Below are 21,032 nucleotides of genomic sequence, written 5' to 3'. Positions count from 1 at the left end.
TGTGGTTTTGATTTGCATTTCTCTGATGACCAGTGATGATGAGCATTTTTTCATGTGTCTTTTGGCTGCATAAATGTCTTCTTTTGAGAAGTGTCTGTTCATATCCTTCACCCACTTTTTGATGGGGCTGTTTGTTTTTTTCTTGTAAATTTGTTTGAGTTCATTGTAGATTCTGGATATTCGCCCTTTGTCAGATGAGTAGGTTGTAAAAATTTTCTCCCATTCTGTAGGTTGCCTGTTCACTCTGATGGTAGTTTCTTTTGCTGTGCAGAAGCTCTTTAGTTTAATTAGATCCCATTTGTCAATTTTGGCTTTTGTTGCCATTGCTTTTGGTGTTTTAGACATAAAGTCCTTGCCCATGCCTATGTCCTGAATGGTATTGCCTAGGTTTTCTTCTAGAGTTTTTATGGTTTTAGGTCTAACATTTAAGTCTTTAATTCATCTTGAATTGATTTTTGTATAAGGTGTAAGGAAGTGATCCAGTTTCAGCTTTCTACATATGGTGAGCCAGTTTTCCCAGCACCATTTATTAAATAGGGAATCGCTTCCCCATTTCTTGTTTTTGTCAGGTTTGTCAAAGATCAGATGGTTGTAGATATGTGGCATTATTTCTGAGGGCTCTGTTCTGTTCCATTGATCTATATCTCTGTTTTGGTACCAGTACCATGCTGTTTTGGTTACTGTAGCCTTGTAGTATAGTTTGAAGTCAGGTAGCGTGATGCCTCCAGCTTTGTTCTTTTGGCTTAGTATTGACTTGGCAATGCAGGCTCTTTTTTGGTTCCACATGAACTTTAAAGTAGGTTTTTCCAATTCTGTGAAGAAAGTCATTGGTAGCTTGAAGGGGATGGCATTGAAACTATAAATTACCTTGGGCAGTATGGCCATTTTCACGATATTGGTTCTTCCTACCTATGAGCATGGAATGTTCTTCCATTTGTTTGTATCCTCTTTTATTTCATTGAGCAGTGGTTTGTAGTTCTCCTTGAAGAGGTCCTTCACATCCCTTGTAAGTTGGATTCCTAGGTATTTTATTCTCTTTGAAGCAATTGTGAATGGGAGTTCACTTATGATTTGGCTCTCTGTTTGTCTGTTATTGCTGTATAAGAATGCTTGTGATTTTTGCACATTGATTTTGTATCCTGAGAGTTTGCTGAAGTTGCCTATCAGCTTAAGGAGATTTTGGCCTGAGACGATGGGGTTTTCTAGATACAATCATGTCATCTGCAAACAGGGACAATTTGACTTCCTCTTTTCCTAATTGAATACCCTTTATTTCTTTCTCCTGCCTGATTGCCCTGGCCAGAACTTCCAACACTATGTTGAATAGTAGTGGTGAGAGAGGGCATTCCTGTCTTGTGCCAGTTTTCACAGGGAATGCTTCCAGTTTTTGCCCATTCAGTATGATATTGGCTGTGGGTTTGTCATAGATAGCTCTTATTATTTTGAAATACATCCCATCAATACCTAATTTGTTGAGAGTTTTTAGCATGAAGCGTTGTTGAATTTTTTCAAGGTTTTTAACTTCTTTGCCATGGGTTCAGACTTCCTCCTTTAGCTTGGAGTAGTTTGATCGTCTGAAGCCTTCCTCTCTCAACTCGTCAAAGTCATTCTCCGTCCAGCTATGTTTTGTTGCTGGTGAGGAGCTGCGTTCCTTTGGAGGAGGAGGGGCGCTCTGATTTTTAGAGTTTCCGGTTTTTCTGCTCTGTTTTTTCCCCATTGGTGTGGTTTGATCTACCTTTGGTCTTTGATGATGGTGACGTACAGATGAGGTTTTGGTGTGGATGTCCTTTCTGTTTGTTAGTTTTCCTTCTAACAGTCAGGACCCTCAGCCGCAGGTCTGTTGGAGTTTGCTGGAGGTCCACTCCAGACCCTGTTTGCCTGGGTATCAGCAGCGGAGGCTGCAGAACAGAGGATATTGGTGAACAACAGATGTTGCTGCCTGATGGTTCCTCTGGAAGTTTTGTCTCAGAGGAGTACCCGGCCGTGTGAGCTGTCAGTCTGCCCCTACTGGGGGGTGCCTACCAGTTAGGCTACTCGGGGGTCAGGGACCCACTTGAGGAGGCAGTCTGTCCGTTCTCCGATCTCCAGCTGCGTGCTGGGAGAACCACTACTCTCTTCAAAGCTGTCAGACAGGGACATTTAAGTCTGCAGAGGATTCTGCTGCCTTTTGTTTGGCTGTGCCCCACCCCCAGAGGTGGAGTCTACAGAGGTAGGCAGGCCTCCTTGAGCTGCGGTGGGCTCAAACTGAGCTTCCTGGACGCTTTGTTTACTTACTCAAGCCTCCGCAATGGCGGGTGCCCCTCCTCCAGCCTTGCTGCCGCCTTGCAGTTTGACCTCAGACTGCTGTGCTAGCAATGAGCGAGGCTCAGTGGGCGTAGGACCCTCTGAGCCATGCGTGGGAGATAATCTCCTGGTGTGCCGTTTGCTAAGACCATTGGAAAAGCGCAGTATTAGGGTGGGAGTGACCCGATATTCCAGGTGCCATCTGTCACCTCTTTCTTTGACTAGGAAAGGGAATTCCCTGACCCCTTGCACTTCCCGGGTGACGCAATGCCTCCCCCTACTTCGGCTCAGGCTTGCTGCAGTGCACCCACTGTCCTGCACCCACTTTCCGACACTCCCCAGAGAAATGAACCCGGTACCTCAGTTGGAAATGCAGAAATCACCCGTCTTCTGTGTCGCTCATGCTGGGAGCTGTAGACTGGAGCTGTTCCTATTCGGCCATCTTGACTCCACCCTCTTCTTCACTTTAACACATTTAAAAGACTAGAAATCATACAATGTCTGCTTTCAGGCCGTGGTGGAATTAAATTATAAATCAATAACAGAAAGGTAACTGGAAAATCTCAAAATATGTGGAGATTAAACAACATATTTCTAAGTTACATGTGGATCAGAAAATCTCAAGAGAAATTTTAAAATATTTTGAACCAAATGAAAATGGGAACACAATTTATCAAAATTTGTGGGATACAGTAAAAACAGTGCTATGGGGAAATATAAGGCATTGAATACATATATTAGGAAAGAAGACAGATCTTAAATCAGTATTCTAAGTTTACACCTGAAGAAAGTAGAAAAGAAGAGCAAATTAAATCCAAAGTAGGTCAGGTGCCATAGCTCACGCTTATAATCCCAGCACTTTGGGAGGCCGAGTGGGGTGGATCACATGAGGTCAGCAGTTTGAGAGCAGCCTGACCAACATGATGAAACCCTGTCTCTACTAAAAATACAAAAATTAGCTGGGCATGGTGGTGCATGCTTGTAGTTCCAGCTACTCAGAAGGCTGAGGCAGGAGAATCGCTTGAACTCAGGGGGCAGAGGTTGCAGTGAGCCGAGATTGAGCCACTGCAGTCCAGCCTGGGTGACAGGGCAAGACTCCATCTCAAAAAAAAAATCAAAAAAACCAAAGTAAAGCACGGTGGCTCATGCCTGTAATTGGGAGGCTGAGGTAGGCAGATTGCCTGAGCTCAGGAGTTCAAGACTAGCCTGCGCAACATGGCAAAACCCTGTCTCTACTAAAAATACAAAATGTTAGCCAGGCTTGGTGATGCATACCCATAGTCCTGGCTACTTGGGAGGTGGAGGCACTAGAATTGCTTGAACCTGGGAGGAGGAGGTTGCAGTGAGCCAAGATCACACCACTGCCCTCCAGCCTGGGTGACAGAATGAGAATCTGTCTCCTAAATAAATAAATAAATAAATAAAATAAAATAAATCCAAAGTAAGACAAAGAAAAGAAATAATTAGAGCCGAAATCAATGAAATTGAAAACAAGGAATCAATAGAAGAAATGAAATGAAATAAACACTGGTTACTTGAAAAAAATCAATAAATTCAGTAAGTCTCCAGCAAAGCTAAGAAAAAAAAAACCAGAAAGGATACAAATTACTAATATGAGAAATGAAAGAGGAGACATCACTACAAATACTATGGGGATTAAAAGGATAATAGAGGAATACCATGAAGAACTCTGCCTACAATTTTATAACCTAGAAGAAATAGACCAATTCCTTGACACAATCTGTCAAAATTCATACAAAGAAACAATGTGCCAAAACTCACACAAAAAGAAACAGACAATCCAAATAGGCTTATTTCTATTAAATAAATTGAATCAATAATTGATAATCTTCAAAACCAGAAAGCACTAGGCCAAGACAGGTTCACTGGTTAATTCTACCAAACATTTAAGACAGAAATAGCAATTCTCTACAATCTCTTGAGGACAGAAGCAGAGTTAATATTTCCTAACTCATTCTATGAGGCCAGTATCACCCTAATACCAAACCCAGACAAAACATTACAAGAAAAGAAAACTGGCCTGGCATGGTGGCTCACGCCTGTAATCCCAGCACTTTGGGAAGCAGAGGTGGGTGGATCACCTGAGGTCAGGAGTTTGAGACCAGCCTGACCAATATGGTGAAACCCTGTCTCTACTAAAAATATAAAAATTAGCCGGCTTGGTGGCGCAGGCCTGTAATCCCAGCTACTCAGGAGGCTGAGACAGGAGAAATGCTTGAACCCAGGAGACGGAGGTTGCAGTGAGCCGAGATCGCACCACTGCACTCCAGCCTGGGCAATAGAGGGAGGCTTGCTGACAGAAAGAAAGAAAGAAAGAAAGAGAGAGAGAGAGCTACAGACCAATCTCTCATGAAAAAGGAAGGAAGGAAACTACAGATCAATCTTTCATGAAAATAAATGCAAAAATACTCAACAAACATTAGCAAGTTGAATCTAACAATTTATAAAATGAATTATACACCATGACTAAGTGGGATTTATCCCAGCTCTTGTAAACTATGGACTTTGGACTATGATGATGTGTCAATGGAGGTTCATCAATTGTAACAAATGTACCATTCTGGTGGGGGATGCTGATAATGGGGGATGTTATATATGTGTTGGGACATGAGGTATACATGGGAAATCTCTGTACCTTCCAATCAATTTTGTTGTGAAATTAAAACTGCTCTAAAAAAAGTCTTTAAAAAATTAAAAGGCTATTAGTACCGCTTGCTCTTCCAACTACCCCTTACTTCAATACCTGTTTCAGGTTGTCTGTTTGGGACTTCTTTCTTCTGCTGCTCTTGAGATTCTTTTAAAAATGATTCACAATATGTAAATGAGTAAAATGAGGGCATTAGAGTGAATCTTTGTGAGATCTGCTCTGAGTCTTGTAATCCACACTCTGAAGGACAGTCCAGGGAATCAAACCCACTGGGGTGGCTCTTGGACTGATGAAGGGGCAGCCACGATGACAAGACCGAAGGCTACCAAAAAATAACACACATAAGCTGCCTACATTTATAAGGATGCCACTGAATAATCAAAGTAAATTTATTTCTGAATTACATAAGGATCATGAAACAGAAACATTAACTCTCATGTTATAAAAACAGTAGTAAAATACAGTACACAGGAATGTCAATTGAATGACAACAATGAAAGTACAATAGCAAATGAAAAATAGTAACTTTTAACTTTAAATACAAAGTGAAGCAATTTAATATGAAATTTTGTTAATAAGAAAAATATATGTCCCATGTCTTTATTACATACTGTACAAAATAAAATATTGCACCTTTCATATAATAAATATATACAAAGAGTATGTTACAAATGATCTTTCTTTTAATTTAATAACCTTCAACAATCAGATGTGATTGATGATTAACAACTAATGGGCTGGTGTGTCCTCCTCACTGTCCCCCATCCATTCCCAATCACCAAACCCTCCACATACAGTAGTGCTCAACCCAGTGTCAGTGAAGCTGAAGTTAGAACAAAAGAGACCGTGTGCTCAGAATATGGTAGAGAAACTCAGCAAGCTTGTCCACAGACACATCCAAAGCCAAAATGCACTGTTCAGTTATTACTGACCAGGAACTAGGCTCAGCAGAGCCTGTGGCAGGTAACTTTGTTGCCAAGAAGATGTAGGCAGCAGGTGTACAGGCAGCTGAGACCCTGAATAAAGAAGTATGACCACTTATTTGGACTTGTGTGCCATCTAAAGACACAACTGGTAGTATACAGGGGAAAGACCCCATAACCAAATCAGCTTCAGAACTTACAATTTAATGCTAGCCTGAACTCACTTCAGCAACAACGCTTACTCCAAACCTAACCTCCATCCTGACACTATCACTAACACCAGCACTGGCCCCAATCTAAACCCAATCCAACCCTGACCTAACCTGGTCCTAACCCTAACCCTTAAAGACAACTCTAGCCTTAACCTTAACTTTCTTTCTCACCTAACCCAATTCTAGCTCTAATCCTAAAACTGAAACTAACCCTTACCCTTTTCCTCAAATCTTAAACTAAATTCTGATTCCAACCCCTGGTCCTTAGTGTAACTTCTAACCTAAGTCACTTTGGATTTACTGAAAAATCAGCCCAAAACAATTATTTACTATAAAAATTATTTTCAACTATCGTGTTTCTTATTTGGATTACTTTCTTATAAATTTTCCAAAATAAAGTTCTCAGGAATACTACTTTATGCATAAATTAGGTCTAATAAGGCTTTGGTTTTCTGTTTGTGTGCAATAGAATAGTGCTTAGAAAAAGTTTCATTCACAGCTCTTAAAAGAAAGCTCTGAATATACTACGAAATCAGTAGAAAAGGTTAACTTTCCCTCTTCTTTGACTTCCGAGATGCCTCATTAGGTCATAGATAAATTTCTGTAGTTGTATAAATGACAGCAATATCTACTCTGTGTTTTCTTCCATGGGTGTTCTAAAAGCAAGGACAAGATGCCATGCTTCCATGAACCCTTAGGTCAGTCAGTGTGACAGCCTATCCAGAGAGATGGTTTCTTTTTCACAGACTAAACCAAGGATCTATGAAAATGCCATTAATGCCAACATCTTAACAACTACTGGCCAGAGCTTCTAAAATGCAAATACCTTATAAAACTGTTGAAAACCTGCAACTTGAGAGAAGAGGAAGTCATGGGTTGCTGTGTTTCCCAAGTTTTTAGGATGTACCACTCTGTGCTAGTCTACATATCACAGGAAAGAGGCAGCACGTGAGGATGCACTCATAATCTTGGTGATTTCTCGATTCAACTGACATGATGAGGTCCCAAGTGCAGTGGCATGCATGCTATAGTATTTTGTTCATCCTTGAATACATCATTTTAAAAAATTGGAATATAAAACTACCATTGGAAAATTTCACTTTACACCTTAACAGTGGTGTTTTTGCATCAACCTCTGTTTGATCCATAGAATCTAGTCTTTTAAGAAATACATGTTTTTGAATCAGCGACATGGGGAAAAGAGCTTTTATATTCTACTTTTATCTTCACAGCAGCATCATGACCCCTCCAAAGGTTTATCCCTCTTGACATGACTGGCAGCACCTTTGTTTGTAGCGGTCTAGAGAACACAAATTAAGATGTTTTACAAACATACAGTAGTGAGTTGTGTCTGTGCAGTCTCCTGCAAAAAAGAAACAAATATCTGTAACATATAGCTTATTAGAGACCTAATTAAAAATTATTTGACTTTATGAAAAGCCATAAATTGAGATCACAGAGTGAGGTGAAGAAACCAGCTTTGGGTTAGGGCCATTGTTTTGCATGAGAGTCAGAAGTGCATTGGATTCCCTTTCAGCTCAGCCAAGTGACCTCTTGCTGCTCTCTGGACCCTCCCAGTCCCTCTGGCCCATGCTGCTCCTTTGAGTTCTCAGAGCAGCAATGCTTAACTTTTGCAGGGTCATGGACTCCTTGAAAAACTTATGAATGCTACACACCTACTCCCTAGAAAAATAAACCTACAGTTTTTACATATAACTTCAGGACATCAGCATACCTACCCAAGCCCATCCATGGAATCTTTGTCTTAGCACGTAAGACTACCAGGCAGAAGAGAAGTGTGTGGAGAGACTGACAGTGCTTGTCGGAAAGGCAGTAACCAATGATGCTGGCATGCTACTAATCCAACTGCCTTTTCTCTAGAGAACATGCAGCTGCACCCACATAAAGGAGTTCATCCCCTGATGTCCCAAGCTACCAAATCCATTCTGAATAGCCCCTCAGTTGGGACACTGATGAGGTAATCACTAGCAGGGTTTGGTGCCGTGATGGTAGCATCAGGATCTGATGCCATCAAGGCCTCTGGGGCAGTGGAGATACCTGGGAGGTGTACGTACTATCACAGGAGGGCCCAAGACAGTGCCGCCAGGAAATTGGTTTCTTTTTCTGTACACAGTGTCTCTTGGCCACAGGTTTGCAACTCCTTGTGTGGATACAGTCGACTTTCCGAGACTGGAAACCCCTGCCACAGGCTGCTGTACAGGGCTTCCAAGGGCCTGTGTGCCAACACACATCACAGGCCCCTGATGTGCAGTTCCTTCTTAAGGTGGGTCTGAAGTGAAAAATAAAACAAAACGGAAAAACAAAAAATAGGAGAGGCAGGGTGTAACTTTTTGCTGGGACCAAGCCTTTTTACCTTACTCTATACTACGTATTAAAGGTTGGATGGAGAGTCTAAGACCAAGACATTCCTCTGCTTTTATGCCATACAGGCTAGAACGACAGTGACAACATTCTCCACCACCTGGGGTGGAGTGCGCCTGCTTAGATGTGCTCTGATGAAGAGGGCATGGCAAGCAAACCATGTGTTTCCACTGACTTCCAACACCAAGTCAAGGCACACACATCCTGACTAGCTGGAAGAAATCAATTTTGGCAAGGAAGAGAATTATTTACTATAATGATCTACAATAAGCCACCTCAAATTCATTAACAAGACTTCAATTTTCTGTTTGTAAGCGCTCAAAACATACTGCGGTGTATGACTTTCTATGTGAGCAACCTTGTCTGCTAAAAGAAGTACTCTTTTTTACATTTAGGTCACACCAAGACTTGCAGTCAGAAACTACTGAAGACCATATGAGAATAAGAATCTATCTCTGATTTCCTTGCCTTTTAAAACAGAATGGAAAGTTAATACCCTCTGATTTTTGAAAAGACACATGCTAAAGAGGATAGAGCCAAACTTAGTGGGCCCACTTTGGGGTATCTGCCCTTGTTCCCTAAGGCAGGGCTCCTGAAGACATATTTGCACTGCTTGAGAGTGTCTTCCCAGTTCCAAAGATGACTGGAAGAGGGCCCTAACTTGAGCTGGTTGAAGAAATGTATTTCTCTTAGGATTTGGAGGTTGCTAGAACCAGGCATGCAAACCTGAAGTGTGGAGTATTAGGTGGCTATATTCTTCCACATCGGCCAGAAATATAGAAAAAAACCAGTTTTCATAAAGAGCAAATAATGAAGCAGAAACACACAGAACTGCAGAGATGAGAGAAGAGAAAAAAAACAATGACTTCCCATTTCTTAGTTGTAGTCCTTCCTGAGGTCTGACTGCATGCTCCCTGTTCTCCCTTTGGATTCTATGAGATATTTTTGTTATCCCATTAAAGGTTCCTTATCAGGGCACATAAATCCATAAGGAGTGTTTTATGGGAAATGTAATAAAATGGAGAAATTTGTGATATCCAAGAACTCTGAGAGTATTGCACGTAGTTGGAAGTAATCCTATCATTAGCCAGTAGGAGGAGACTCTATCAAAGGGTTTACTTAACACAGTGCTGTCCTACCAAACTGTTCATACGATATATGGAAGAGGTGGGTGTCCTGTTAGCTGCTTTTGTTTTCCCCAGTAGGTATGAATCTTAGGGACCAAAAATTGAGTCACTTTGAACAACAGAGAAGAGACTGAGTACTCCTCAACCATCCCTATATAGAGATCAGCCTTCCACTGAAGAAACTTGAACAAATATTCAAATAATATATTTAAAAGAATACCAAATTATTGTGCACAAGTTTTGGGTGGTCTTGTCTTATTAATAAATCCCTCACCCTTTTTTGCATAAATCATGCCAAGTTGACTTTTGCTTCTAGCCCAAAGGATTGTAAAACAGCCCCTTTTGCTTTGATGAAAGGCAGGGCCAGTGGGAAGTCAGACAGGACTATTGAGCTTTCTAAATACAAAGAATGAGAGGGGCACAGGGAGCTATGGACCAACACAGAAGCTGAAGCCCAGGAAAGCTAAGAGGCTGCTCACTAAGGATACAGTAGAAAAAATCATAATAAATAAAAAGCAAGGTCTGTCCAGTAGAGGGCGTAACTTCCTCCTGGCCAGGGACAGGACTCAGGACAGAGACACCTGAGCCAGGTGAATGCAGTCTGGGCACCTGCACTATGCACATAACTGGGGTTCATGTGTTTTTCTACATGAAGCATGAGTGTAGAAATGGTAGCAGAAATCATAAAGGAACCCTGTTTCTACTAGCTTTTTTCAATTTCTCACTTCTATTCAGTCTGGCTCCACTTCTGCCTCAAGTAACTCCTTTCACCATCAGCCAGATGGAACTGCTGATTCTGACGGCAGTAGATCCCAAGCCTGCCTGGTTATTCGAAGCAGGCAGAAGCACACAGCTTTAAAATGCTGTAGATGGCCAGGCAATCTCATGAAGGTTCTGATTCACTGCCTGAGGTGAGGCCCAAGCATCTTTATTTTACAGAAATTTCCTAGGTGATTCTGATTTCAGAAGTTAGAAATCGCCACTTTGAGAAACCAACTTTCTGTGTCCTCAGCATTCTATAGGTCCCCATGTTGTCACCTTGCCATAAGTCTGGGCTAGCTCCACCCTGACAATTCCCATTCCCTCTACAACTTTTCAATGGAAGCCACAGCTCCCAAAACCTTCCCAGGGCATATAGTAAACACTAGCAGACAGCCTGCCCACCACTGATCCTCTGCCCACGCCACTAATGCTACTCCTTCTACAACACTCTCTAACATTTCCTGAGGCCCTACTATGGCAAATGGGGGGTCTCCATTGCTCCCTGTCCACCCACTCAAAAGTGAGATCTAACACCTCACCTACCTACAGAGAGCCCATGGTCATAAACCAATCCAGCAGAAGAGGTCTGTGGGGAAAAGGGGGCTAAAACACTGCAGAAGAAACCCTCGACAGCTCTCTATACTAACCAACTTCATCCCTCATCCATAAACCACCAGATATCTGAGGAAAAAATATTAACACCATGAAAGAAAAGCATCAGGTTATAAAAACAGAACAGCCAATCCTGGAGGAAACAGAAATAAAAGAGAAAATGAATGGTAACTTGACTCCCTGCCACTCTGACTCACCCCCAGCTCTAGGAATTTTCTTCCATTATTAAAAAAAAGTCTACCCTTTAATTTCACTTTCATATCTCTTGGTCTAAAACCCAATTTAATCAGATTTTGAGCCTCTTGATAGATCCTTCTATACTCTTTATCTTCCGTATTACATTTTCTGCCTCTTATTTTTTGCTACCTTTGATTGGAAAGTATGTGACATATCTGAGAAACTGACAGAAGGACAGTGTGGCTGGAACATGAAGAGTGAGACAGCATGAGATAATGGATGAGGCTGTGAAGAAAAGTAGGACTTGAGCACGTTTTTTTGTTTGTTTTTTGGTTTGTTTTTTTGAGATAGAGTCTTGCTCTGTTGCCCAGGCTGGAGTACAGTGGTGTGATCTTGGCTCACTGCAGCCTCCACCTCCCAGGTTCAAGCAATTCTCCTGCCTCAGCCTCCCAAATAGCTGGGATCACAGGCATGTGCAACCATGCCCAGCTAATTTTGTATTTTTAGTAGAGACAGGGTTTCACTATGTTGGCAGGCTGGTCTCAAACTCCTGACTTCAAGTGATCTGCCTGCCTCAGCCTCCCAAAGTACTAGGATTACAAGTGTGAGCCACCATGCCCAGCCAAGCATGTGGTATTTTATAGGTCACATTGAGGATTTGGTCAATCTTCCTAAGAGCAAGTAAAACCTCTAAAGTAATTTTAGTCTAGCAGGGAGATGGGTTGTGGTGGTGGTAGGATCAGATTTGCATCTGGGAAAACTCACTCTGGCTGTACTGTGGAGACTGGGTTGGAAAGGAGCATGGATGGATGAAGGGGGACCAGTTGGACAGCTGTGACAGTATACCAGGTGAGATACGATGGTGGTTTGGCCAAGGGTAATGGTGGCAGAAAAGAAAAAATGAAGATGAGTTCAAGAAAAAAAATATAAGGAATAAAAAATCATATAAAAAAGTAATCAGGAAAGTACACATTACAATGAGATAAATTTTCATCCATCAGATTGGCAAAAATTTTAAAAGACTGCAAACCTATATCATGTTGATGAAAAGGGGGCAACTCTCACATATTGCTGGCATAGAAATTTTGATGGCAATTTGATAGCATCAAAATGAGCATTCCTACCAATTCAATTCCATTATCTAAAAATCTACTCTATAAAAATATTACCCTTTGTACCCAAAGATATATGTTCCAGGATATTTACTGAAGCTTAGTTTATAATAGCAAAAAGTTTGAAACTATCCAATGTCCATTAGCAACAGAATATTAAGTACAAAATTTAGATAGAATATTGAGTAGAATAGAGTATTAAGTACAAAATTAAAAAGAATAAAGTTAATCTTTACTTGATGGGAATTATCTATAATATATTCTTAGGTAGAAAAAGCAAGTTTCAGAAAAATATGTATGTGACCCATGTATGTATTTGTGCTTTAAGTATATCTTTGTGAATGCAAAGTAAAGCACCTGGGATGATGCATATCAATCTGTGTGTGGTCTGTATCTTCTCAGGAAAATAGGAAACTTAGGTTGTCTGTTGAGAATGAGAGCAGCCGTTCCAAACATTTTCCATTTGAGGAGAATGGTTTTGGCTTGAAATCACTTTGTGGGGAATAGGAAATGCAACTGACCCTACATTGCCAAACCTTACTGAAGGCTCAAAATGGTAACCCAGCCAACTGTCAAGGTCATCTCATTTTCTCCAGCAAGACTCAGGACATGGAAAAGGAAGAAATAGCCAGATATTGAGCATCTTCCATGACCCAGGCTGCCTCGTGTTTCACACTAAGCTAAATCATTAAAACTTTCTAAACATAAGTTCACATGGATGATAATATCCCACTTTGCAGATTAGGTGGCTAGGCAGTCCAGGGTCACACAGTAAGTGAGTGATATAATAGAACTCCCAAGCCCCCGATTAGTGTGCCTTCTAGGCTCTCTCCCCACTTTCTGCTGGCTGGGGTGCTGTTCTCTTGGATGGTAGAGCTGCCAGATGGAGGGCATCTGGATCTCTGGATGACCCCATGAAAAAAGCTCTTCTATCCCTAAACCATCTACCAGCTCAGACTTTTATAAAAGGAGGAAAGCAAACTCCACCCTTATTTAACCTCCTCAACAAGATTAAAGTTTATTTTACTATCTGCCAACCACTGTGACAATATCCTAATCAAAACATTTTCTAAACAGAGAAATAAAGCAGTTCATTAAAAGCATTAAGAAGATTTAATCTGTAAGCCTAAATGGAATATTATTAGGCTTGATTAACTTAGTATATAGAGGGAGAAGTATCTCCGTTTTCTCAATGATATCCTTTTCCCCTTTTACCACATAGAGTGGTGTCCCTTTATTGTTTAACATCCAAACAATTTATAGTTATAAATAGTGCACATTAACTAGTATTTCAGTATAATATATACTATTGAAGATGACACTAAATAAATCATAATTGAAAACTGTCAATTATGAGAGTTGGTAGAAACTAGAAAGGATTCCATTTTCAGGCAGTTATAATCATTGTCCTGAGTGAGTCAGGAGAGAATGTGTGCTGCTCTGGGGTGGGGCCCCTACCTCTTTCTGTCATCACAGTTGGAGTCAGAGCTGTTGTGTTGACAAGCTGTGTGACGCTGCTGCATCCTCACAGCACGGCCCATGCAACGTCCAGGACACTGGAACAAAAAAGCACAGTGCAGTGTAAATCCTGCAAGCTCATCCATGCTGTGTGTACTAAGATCATGTACTGAGGCAGGATAGCTGAAGACCTATTACAAGGGGACTGTAACCAACTGTCCCCAGGGGGGAGTTAAAGAGGATTAGGGTACAGCTCTGTGGACCAGACACCTCTTTTTCAGAGTCAGGAAGAAACTGCCTAAGCTTACCATCCCCTCTGTATTAGTCCATTTTCACACTGCTCTAAAGACATACCCGAGACTGGGTAATTTACAAAGGAAAGAGGTTTAATTGACTCACAGTCAGCATGGCTGGGGAAGCCTCAGAAGACTTACAATCATGTCAGAAGGTGAAGGGGAAACAAGGCACCTTCTTCACAAGCGGCAAAGAGGAGAAGTGCCAAGTGAAGGGAGAAGAGCCCCCTTTATAAAACAATCAGATCTTGTGAGAACTCACTCACTATCATGAGAATAGCATGAGGGAAACTGTCGCCATGATCCAACTGCCTCCACCTGGTCTCTCCCTTGACATGTGGGGATTGTGGGGATTAAAATTCAAGATGAGATTTGGGTGAGGACAAAAAGCCTAACCATATCATTCTGCCCGTGGCCCCTCCCAAATCTCATGTCCCTTTCACATTTCAAAAGCATTCATGCCTTCCCAACAGTCCCCCAAAGTCTTAATTCATTCCAGCATTAACCCAAAAGTCCAAGTCCAAAGTCTCATCTGAAATAAGGCAAGTCTCTTCTGCCTATGAGCCTGTAACATGAAAAGTAAGTTAGTTACTTCCTAGATACAGTGGAGGTACAGGCAGTGGATAAATACACCCATTCCAAATGGGAGAAGTTGGCCAAAATAATGGGACTATAGGCCCCATACAAGGCCAAAATCCAATGGGGCAGTCAAATCTTAAAGTTCCGATATGATCTCCTTTGACCCCATGTCTCACATCCAGACATGACCCCGTGTCTTCCATCATGCTGATGTAAGAGGTGGGCTCCCATGGCCTTAAGCAGCTCCTCCTCTGTGGCTTTGCAGGGTACAGTCCTCACTCCTGGCTGCTTTCATGGGCTGGTGTTAAGTGACTGTGGCTTTTCCAGGCACACAGCACAAGCTGTCAGTAGATCTACCATTCTGGGGTCAGAAGGATGGTGGTCCTCTTCTCACAGCTCCACTAGGCAATGCACCAGTGGAGACTCTGTGTGGAGGCTCCAACCCCACATTTCCCTTCTGCACTGCTGTAACAGAGGTTCTTTATGAGGACCCTACTCCTGCAGCAAACTTCTGTCTGGACATCTAGGGTTTTCCATACATTCCTCTGAAATCTAGGCAGAGGTTCTCAAACCTCAATTCTTGACTTCTGTGCACCTGCAGGCCCAACACCATGTGTAAGCTGCCAAGGGTTGGGGCTTGCGCCCTCTGAAGCAATGGCCTGAGTTGTATGTTGGTTCCTTTTAGCCATGGCTGAGACACAGGGCTCCAAGTGCTCGGACTGCACAAAGCAGCAAGTTCCTGGGCTCAGCCCAGGAAACCACTTTTTTCTCCTATGCCTCAGGGTATGTGATGGGAGGGGCTGCTGTGAAGACCACTGACGTGCCCTGGAGACATGTTCCCCATTGTATTGGCATTTTGCTCCTCATTCCTTATGCAAATTTCTGCAGCCAGCTTGAATTTCTCCTCAGCTCCTCAGAAAATGGGTTTTTCTTTTCCATTGCATCCTCAGGCTGCAAATTTTCCAAACTTTTATGCTCTGCTTCCCTTTGAAACATAAGTTCCAATTCCAAGTCATCTCTTTGTGAATGCATAAAACTGAATGCTTTTAAGAGCATCCAAGTCACCTCTTGAATGCTTTGATGCTTAGAAATTTCTTCTACCAGATACCCTAAATCATCTCTCTCAAGTTCAACATTCCACAGATCTCTAGGACAGGGGCAAAATGCCTCCATTCTCTTTGCTAAAGCATAGCAAGAGTCACCTTTGCTCTAGTTCCCAAGAAGTTCCTCATCTCCACCTGAGACCATCTCAGCCTGGACTTTATTGTCCACACCACTATCAGCATTTTGGTCAAAACCCTTCAACAGATCTCTAGGAAGTTCCAAACTCTCCCAAATCTTCCTGTCTTCTTCTGAGCCCTCCAAACTGTTCCAGTCTGTGCCTGTTACCCAGTTCCAAAGTCGCTTCCACATTTTTGGGTATCTTTATAGCAACATCCCTCTCTCTGCTGTACCAATTTACTATATTAGTTCATTTTTACACTTCTATAAAGAAATACCTGAGACTGAGTAATTTACAAAGGAAAGAGGTTTAATTGACTCACATATCTGCATGGCTGAGGAGGCCTCAGGAAACTTAAAATCATGATGGAAGGCAAAGAGGAAGCAAGGAACTTTCTTCACAAGGCAGCAGGAAGGAGAAGTGCCAAAGGGGGAAAAGCCTCTTATAAAACCATCAGATCTTGTGAGAACTCACTCACTGTCACAAGAACAGCATGGGGGAAACTGCCCCCATGACTCAATTACCTCCACCTGGTCTCTCCCTTGACATGTGGGGATATTGAGGATTATGGGGATTATAATTCAAGATGAGATCTGGGTGGGGACACAAAGCCTAACCATATCACCCTCCTTTCTCCCACAAAACTTAGACCACCTCTGGGGAGAAGGAAAAAATGACAGGGCAAATCTTGAATCAATTGGGTTTAAGTCCGGAAATGACTATGCTTAAAACCATAAATGTCTGCCAAGTTTGGGTTTTTCTGCTGTGAGCAAAAATGAAGACTTGTGTGCTAAGGTGGGTTCAATTACAGGAAAAAAATTTTAAAATTTTGACATTCAGTTCTTAAAATTTTTACTTATTTATAATAATACCTATTAATTTGTCCTTATAATTTATTTTATGCTTAAAAAGGTCTTTACTGTCATGATAGTTCTACTTGCATTTACTTACTGATACACTTAGCTCTTTAATCAAGTTAGAATTTATTTTGGTGTATGTTCTGAGTCTGTGCTCTGATTTTACTTATTTTTCTTACATTAGCTAGCCGATTTGTCTTATACTGCCTTTTTTCTTTTTTTGGCTAACCACTTTATTGAGATACAATTTACAAACTATACAATTTGCCATCGAATGTTAACGGAATTTAGAGTTGTATAACCTTTACCATAATCAATTTTAGAACATGATCATCATCCCCAAAGAAACCCCATACCTTTAACAGTCACTCCTAATTCCTCTGATTGCTTCTTTCCCCAAGCCTCGGCAACCATTAGTCTACTTTTTGTCTCTACAAATTTCCCTGTTCTGGACACTTTGTATAAATGGTGCCATGCAGAGTGGTCCTTTGCATCTGTCTTCCTTCAATTACCATAATGTTTTCAAGGTTTAGCTCTATTGTAGCATATATCAGTCCTTCATTCCTTTTGATGGTCAAATATTCAATTGTGCAAGCATACCACAGCTCATCTACTCACCAATTGTTTCCATTTTTTTTATTATTATGGGGTGTTGTTATTTGGGTTGTTTCTACTTAATGACATTGTGGTTATTATTAATAATTCTCCAACAAATATTCATGTACAAGTTTTTGTGTGGACATATGTTCCATTTCTTTTTTTCTTTTTTTTTGAGACAGAGTCTCGCTCTGTCGCCCAGGCTGGAGTGCAGTGGCGTGGTCTCAGCTCACTGTAAGCCCTGCCTCCCGGGTTCACACCATTCTCCTGCCTCAGCCTCCCAAGTAGCCGGGACTACAGGCACCCGCCACCACGCCCAGCTAATTTTTTGTATTTTTAGTAGAGACAGGGTTTCACCATGTTAGCGAGGATGACCTCATGATCCTCCTGCCTCAGCCTCCCAAAGTGCTGGGATTACAGGTGTGAGTCACCGCGCCCGGCCTCCGTTTCTTATTTGTATTTTTTTGCCCTAGGATATAGATCCTGAATGTTTCATTTCTTTTGGATACATACCTAGGGGTGGAATTTCTGGGTCATATAATAGATCTAATCTAACATTTTGAGGAACCGCTAGGGTGTTTTCTAAAGTGTCTGTACCATTTTACATTCCCATCAGCAGCATGAAGGTTCCAATTTCTCCACATCCTCATCAACATTTGTCACTATCTCTTTCACTAATGCCATCCCAGTGAGCCTAAACTTGTATCTTATTGTGGTTTTGACTTGCATTTTTTAATGACTAATGGAAAGCATCCCTTCGTGTGCTTATTGGCCATTTGCATATCTTGCTGATAGTTTATTTGTGTTTTTATTATTGAGTTGTAAGTATTCTTTACATATTTTAGAGATAATCTCCTTTTTGATATACAATTTTTAAGCATTTTCTCCCATTCTATAGGTTGTCTGTTTACTTTCTTGATGGTTTCCTTTGCAGCACAAGTTTTTAATTTTGATGCAGTCCAATTTATCTATTTTTGTTGTTGTTGCTTATGCTTTTGTTGTTATATCTAAGAAGCCATTTCCTAATCCAAGCCATGAAAATTTACACCTATATTTTTTTCCAATAGTTTTATATATTGAGCTCTTAAATTTAGTTCTCTGATTCATTTTATTTTTTCGTATGTGGTGTAAAGGGTCCAACTTCCTTTTTTGGAAGTTGTCCTGCATCACTTGTTTAAAAGACTATTCTTCCCCCATTGAATGGTTTCTCAACCTTATACAAAAACAATTGAGATATATATATATGGGTTTATCTCTGGACTCAATTCAATTTCATTGATCTATATGTCCATCCTATGTCAGTACCATACTATCTTGATTACTGTAGCTTTTTGGTAAGTTTTGAAATCAGAAGTCTGAGTCCTGCAACTTTGTTCCTTTTCAAAATTGTTTTGGTTATTCTGTGTCTCTTCTATATCCACATGAATTTTAGGATCAGACTGTCAATGTCTGCAAAGAAACCAGATAAAATTTTGATAGCGATCACATTGAATTTGTAGATAAATTTCAAGAGTATTGTGTTACTAGTAATAATAAGTCTTACAGCTTTCCATTTATTTAGATCTTCTTTAGTTTCTTTGAAAAATATTTTGTAGTTTTATATCTTCTATTTTTAAAACAATGTTTTCTCCTATGATTAACTGCCTTTAAATGTTAAAGTCAATCTGGTCCGTTTCTGAGCTCTGATTATACACCATAACCTGTGTCTCTTCTGCACTAATGCTGTACTATTTTACTCATGACAGTTTTGCATCATGCTCTGACATAGGATGAGGAAAGTCTCTCTATACCTCCAATACTTTTTTAAAATAAAAATTTATGTCTTTATTGTCATATTATCTCCCATGTGAATGCCAGAATTATCTTTAATTCCACAAAAAGTTCTACTATGATGTTAATAGGAATTGTATTACGTGCATATATTCATTTAAGGAAATCGACATCTTCGTAGTACTGAGATTTTCCATTCAGGAGTATAATAAGTCTTTTATTTGCTCAACTTTTATGTGTTTCAATAATGTGTTATATTTTTATTTATGGGTTCCTACACATTAAACTTTTTCCTAAGTATTTTTATTATAACATTATCAAAGGTGGCATTTGGGATGAAGATTCTGAGGCTTTTGTGCAGATACCACTAATGTTCCCCTCCTCATTTTCCTGAAGGCTACTTTTATTCTTACTGCCCTAAACTGGTCTAACTTGGAGCTTCTGTTATGGCATCACTGCATTCAAAGAACCCAAACTTGGTTCACTTTTGTACTGGAAGACAGAGATACTATGATTTCTAAATGTAAACCTTGAGGTCAAAGACATACATTCATTTCAGAGACCAGTCAGATTCCTGCCCCCCGCCCCAAAAGTAGTTTATTGGAAACAAGGTGATTATTATCACACTATCTGTGTGGACAGATAGTGCTGTCCACAAACTAGATGTGTTAGCTTTACCCGGTTCCCTGGTTCCCACTGAACACATGGATGACCAAAACATGGTTTTCTTCCCAGAGGCCGGTCTTTAGGGGCACATGCTCTTGGAGACACCACCTGCACAGTTCCATTGGCTTTTGTCCGCTTGCACGTCACCTGCCGACTGTGGTATCCTTCACCGCAAGACACAGAGCACTGTGACCACACACTTGTGAACCACCTAGGAACAAAAACTACAGGACTTTAGTAAGGACTGGTATGCCAGATCTTAGAGGGGGCGTCTCATCAAAGGAAAAAGCTGATCCCAACACCATGGCTATCTTAGGCTGTCACATGTCTCTATGGGAATGGGAAGCAGCACAGATGACTCCCAGCCTTTTTCTCAGACCTTCTTTAACTCGGGAGAAACAGTGTCATCATGTAGAGATGACTACTTTAGGAATGGGGTACAGCTGTCTTCAGGTTTATGAAGAGCTGTTACTTGTGTGGCCCTAGAGGGTAAAGCTGGGGCAAATTTAGGAGGAAATTTCCAAAAGGTGGAGTTCAACTCACTGAAACTAAAATGAAGAAAATATATTTCCAGCATCTAAGTGTTGTTTACCCTGCAAGATACTTACATGTTAGCTTGTATAATTCTCATGTTATTCCCATTCTTGTAGAAAAGAAACGGATGTCCACTGAACTGAATAACTTAGCTATGACCACATGACTAACCTGCCAGCAGAGCTGGGATTGGATTCTAGATTTATCTGACTCTAAAGTTCATGCTTTAATGATTATAGGAGACTGAACTTGGAGCTGGACACCTTTGAGATATTGAGTGCTTTGTCTGTTGGGACAAAGATGCTGTTGGGAGACTGCAGAGCAGGGGTTTCTAACATGATGTCCATGGTTATCCAAGGAAACCACATACTTGGATGGAAAAAGAATTCCGTCTTCATTGTCACTAAGCTCTAACTGAAATTTAATATTTCCTTCAATTATAGAAACATAGGCCACAAGTACAGTAGCATTAATAATACCTGTGATTTTGTTACCAATAGAAATCATAGATATTTACACATTACATTATGACAGGTATCTCAAAATATCATTTATATTCATCACCATATTAAAATTAAAGCACAACTATATCTTGTTATTTTTTGTGTTAATAGAGAAGTAAATCTATATCAGATCTTGTATGTTTGTTTGTTTGTTGTGAGACGGAGTCTCATTCTGTCGCCCAGGCTGGAGTGCAGTGGCGCAACCTCGGCTCACTCCAACCATTGCCTCCCGGGTTCACGCCATTCTCCTGCCTCAGCCTCCCGAGTAGCTGGGACTACAGGTGCCTGCCACCAT

General features: G+C 40.9%; 1 protein-coding gene across 9 annotated transcripts in view, besides 4 other annotated features; it reads right to left on the bottom strand.

Annotated features, from left to right (window-relative positions):
- Positions 1,766-2,359: an enhancer, noted in NCBI's record as "H3K27ac-H3K4me1 hESC enhancer chr15:84711542-84712135 (GRCh37/hg19 assembly coordinates)". NCBI's record gives its function as "activates a minimal SCP1, AML or CMV promoter by ChIP-STARR-seq in primed H9 embryonic stem cells {active_cell/tissue: H9 hESC(primed)}" and the evidence as "EXISTENCE:reporter gene assay evidence [ECO:0000049][PMID:30033119]".
- Positions 1,766-3,031: a biological region, named in NCBI's record as "CDK7 strongly-dependent group 2 enhancer GRCh37_chr15:84710870-84712069".
- Positions 1,832-3,031: an enhancer, noted in NCBI's record as "CDK7 strongly-dependent group 2 enhancer chr15:84710870-84712069 (GRCh37/hg19 assembly coordinates)". NCBI's record gives its function as "activates an origin of replication core promoter dependent on BRD2, BRD4, P300/CBP, MED14 and CDK7 cofactors, with strong dependence on CDK7, by STARR-seq in HCT116 cells {active_cell/tissue: HCT116}" and the evidence as "EXISTENCE:reporter gene assay evidence [ECO:0000049][PMID:35650434]".
- Positions 5,307-21,032, bottom strand: part of ADAMTSL3 (ADAMTS like 3) — a 385,720-nt gene continuing 369,994 nt past the window's right edge. For 3 of the 9 annotated variants that reach the window (XM_017022434.2, NM_001301110.2, XM_047432885.1), the window contains 4 exons: positions 19,713-19,911; positions 13,717-13,814; positions 8,145-8,376; positions 5,307-7,386 (listed from right to left, as the gene is read on the bottom strand). In XM_017022434.2, the coding sequence (XP_016877923.1) occupies positions 7,324-7,386; positions 8,145-8,376; positions 13,717-13,814; positions 19,713-19,911 (592 nt within the window). In that variant the 3' untranslated portion in view covers positions 5,307-7,323. Of the gene's footprint in view, positions 7,450-8,144; positions 8,377-13,716; positions 13,815-19,712; positions 19,912-21,032 lie in introns of all 9 variants that reach the window. The other 6 variants (XM_011521823.3, XM_047432886.1, XM_011521822.3 and 3 more) reach the window with 3 other exon arrangements.
- Positions 7,356-7,525: an enhancer, noted in NCBI's record as "experimental_41724 CRE fragment used in MPRA reporter constructs". NCBI's record gives its function as "activates a minimal promoter by MPRAs in K562 erythroleukemia cells, with activity observed for both the introgressed and non-introgressed 15:84706461 variant alleles {active_cell/tissue: K562}" and the evidence as "EXISTENCE:reporter gene assay evidence [ECO:0000049][PMID:34662402]".

Source organism: Homo sapiens, chromosome 15 (genome assembly GCF_000001405.40).
Source record: "Homo sapiens chromosome 15, GRCh38.p14 Primary Assembly".
Classification (NCBI taxonomy): domain Eukaryota; kingdom Metazoa; phylum Chordata; class Mammalia; order Primates; family Hominidae; genus Homo; species Homo sapiens.
This window is presented reverse-complemented; position numbering and strand designations above follow the sequence as displayed.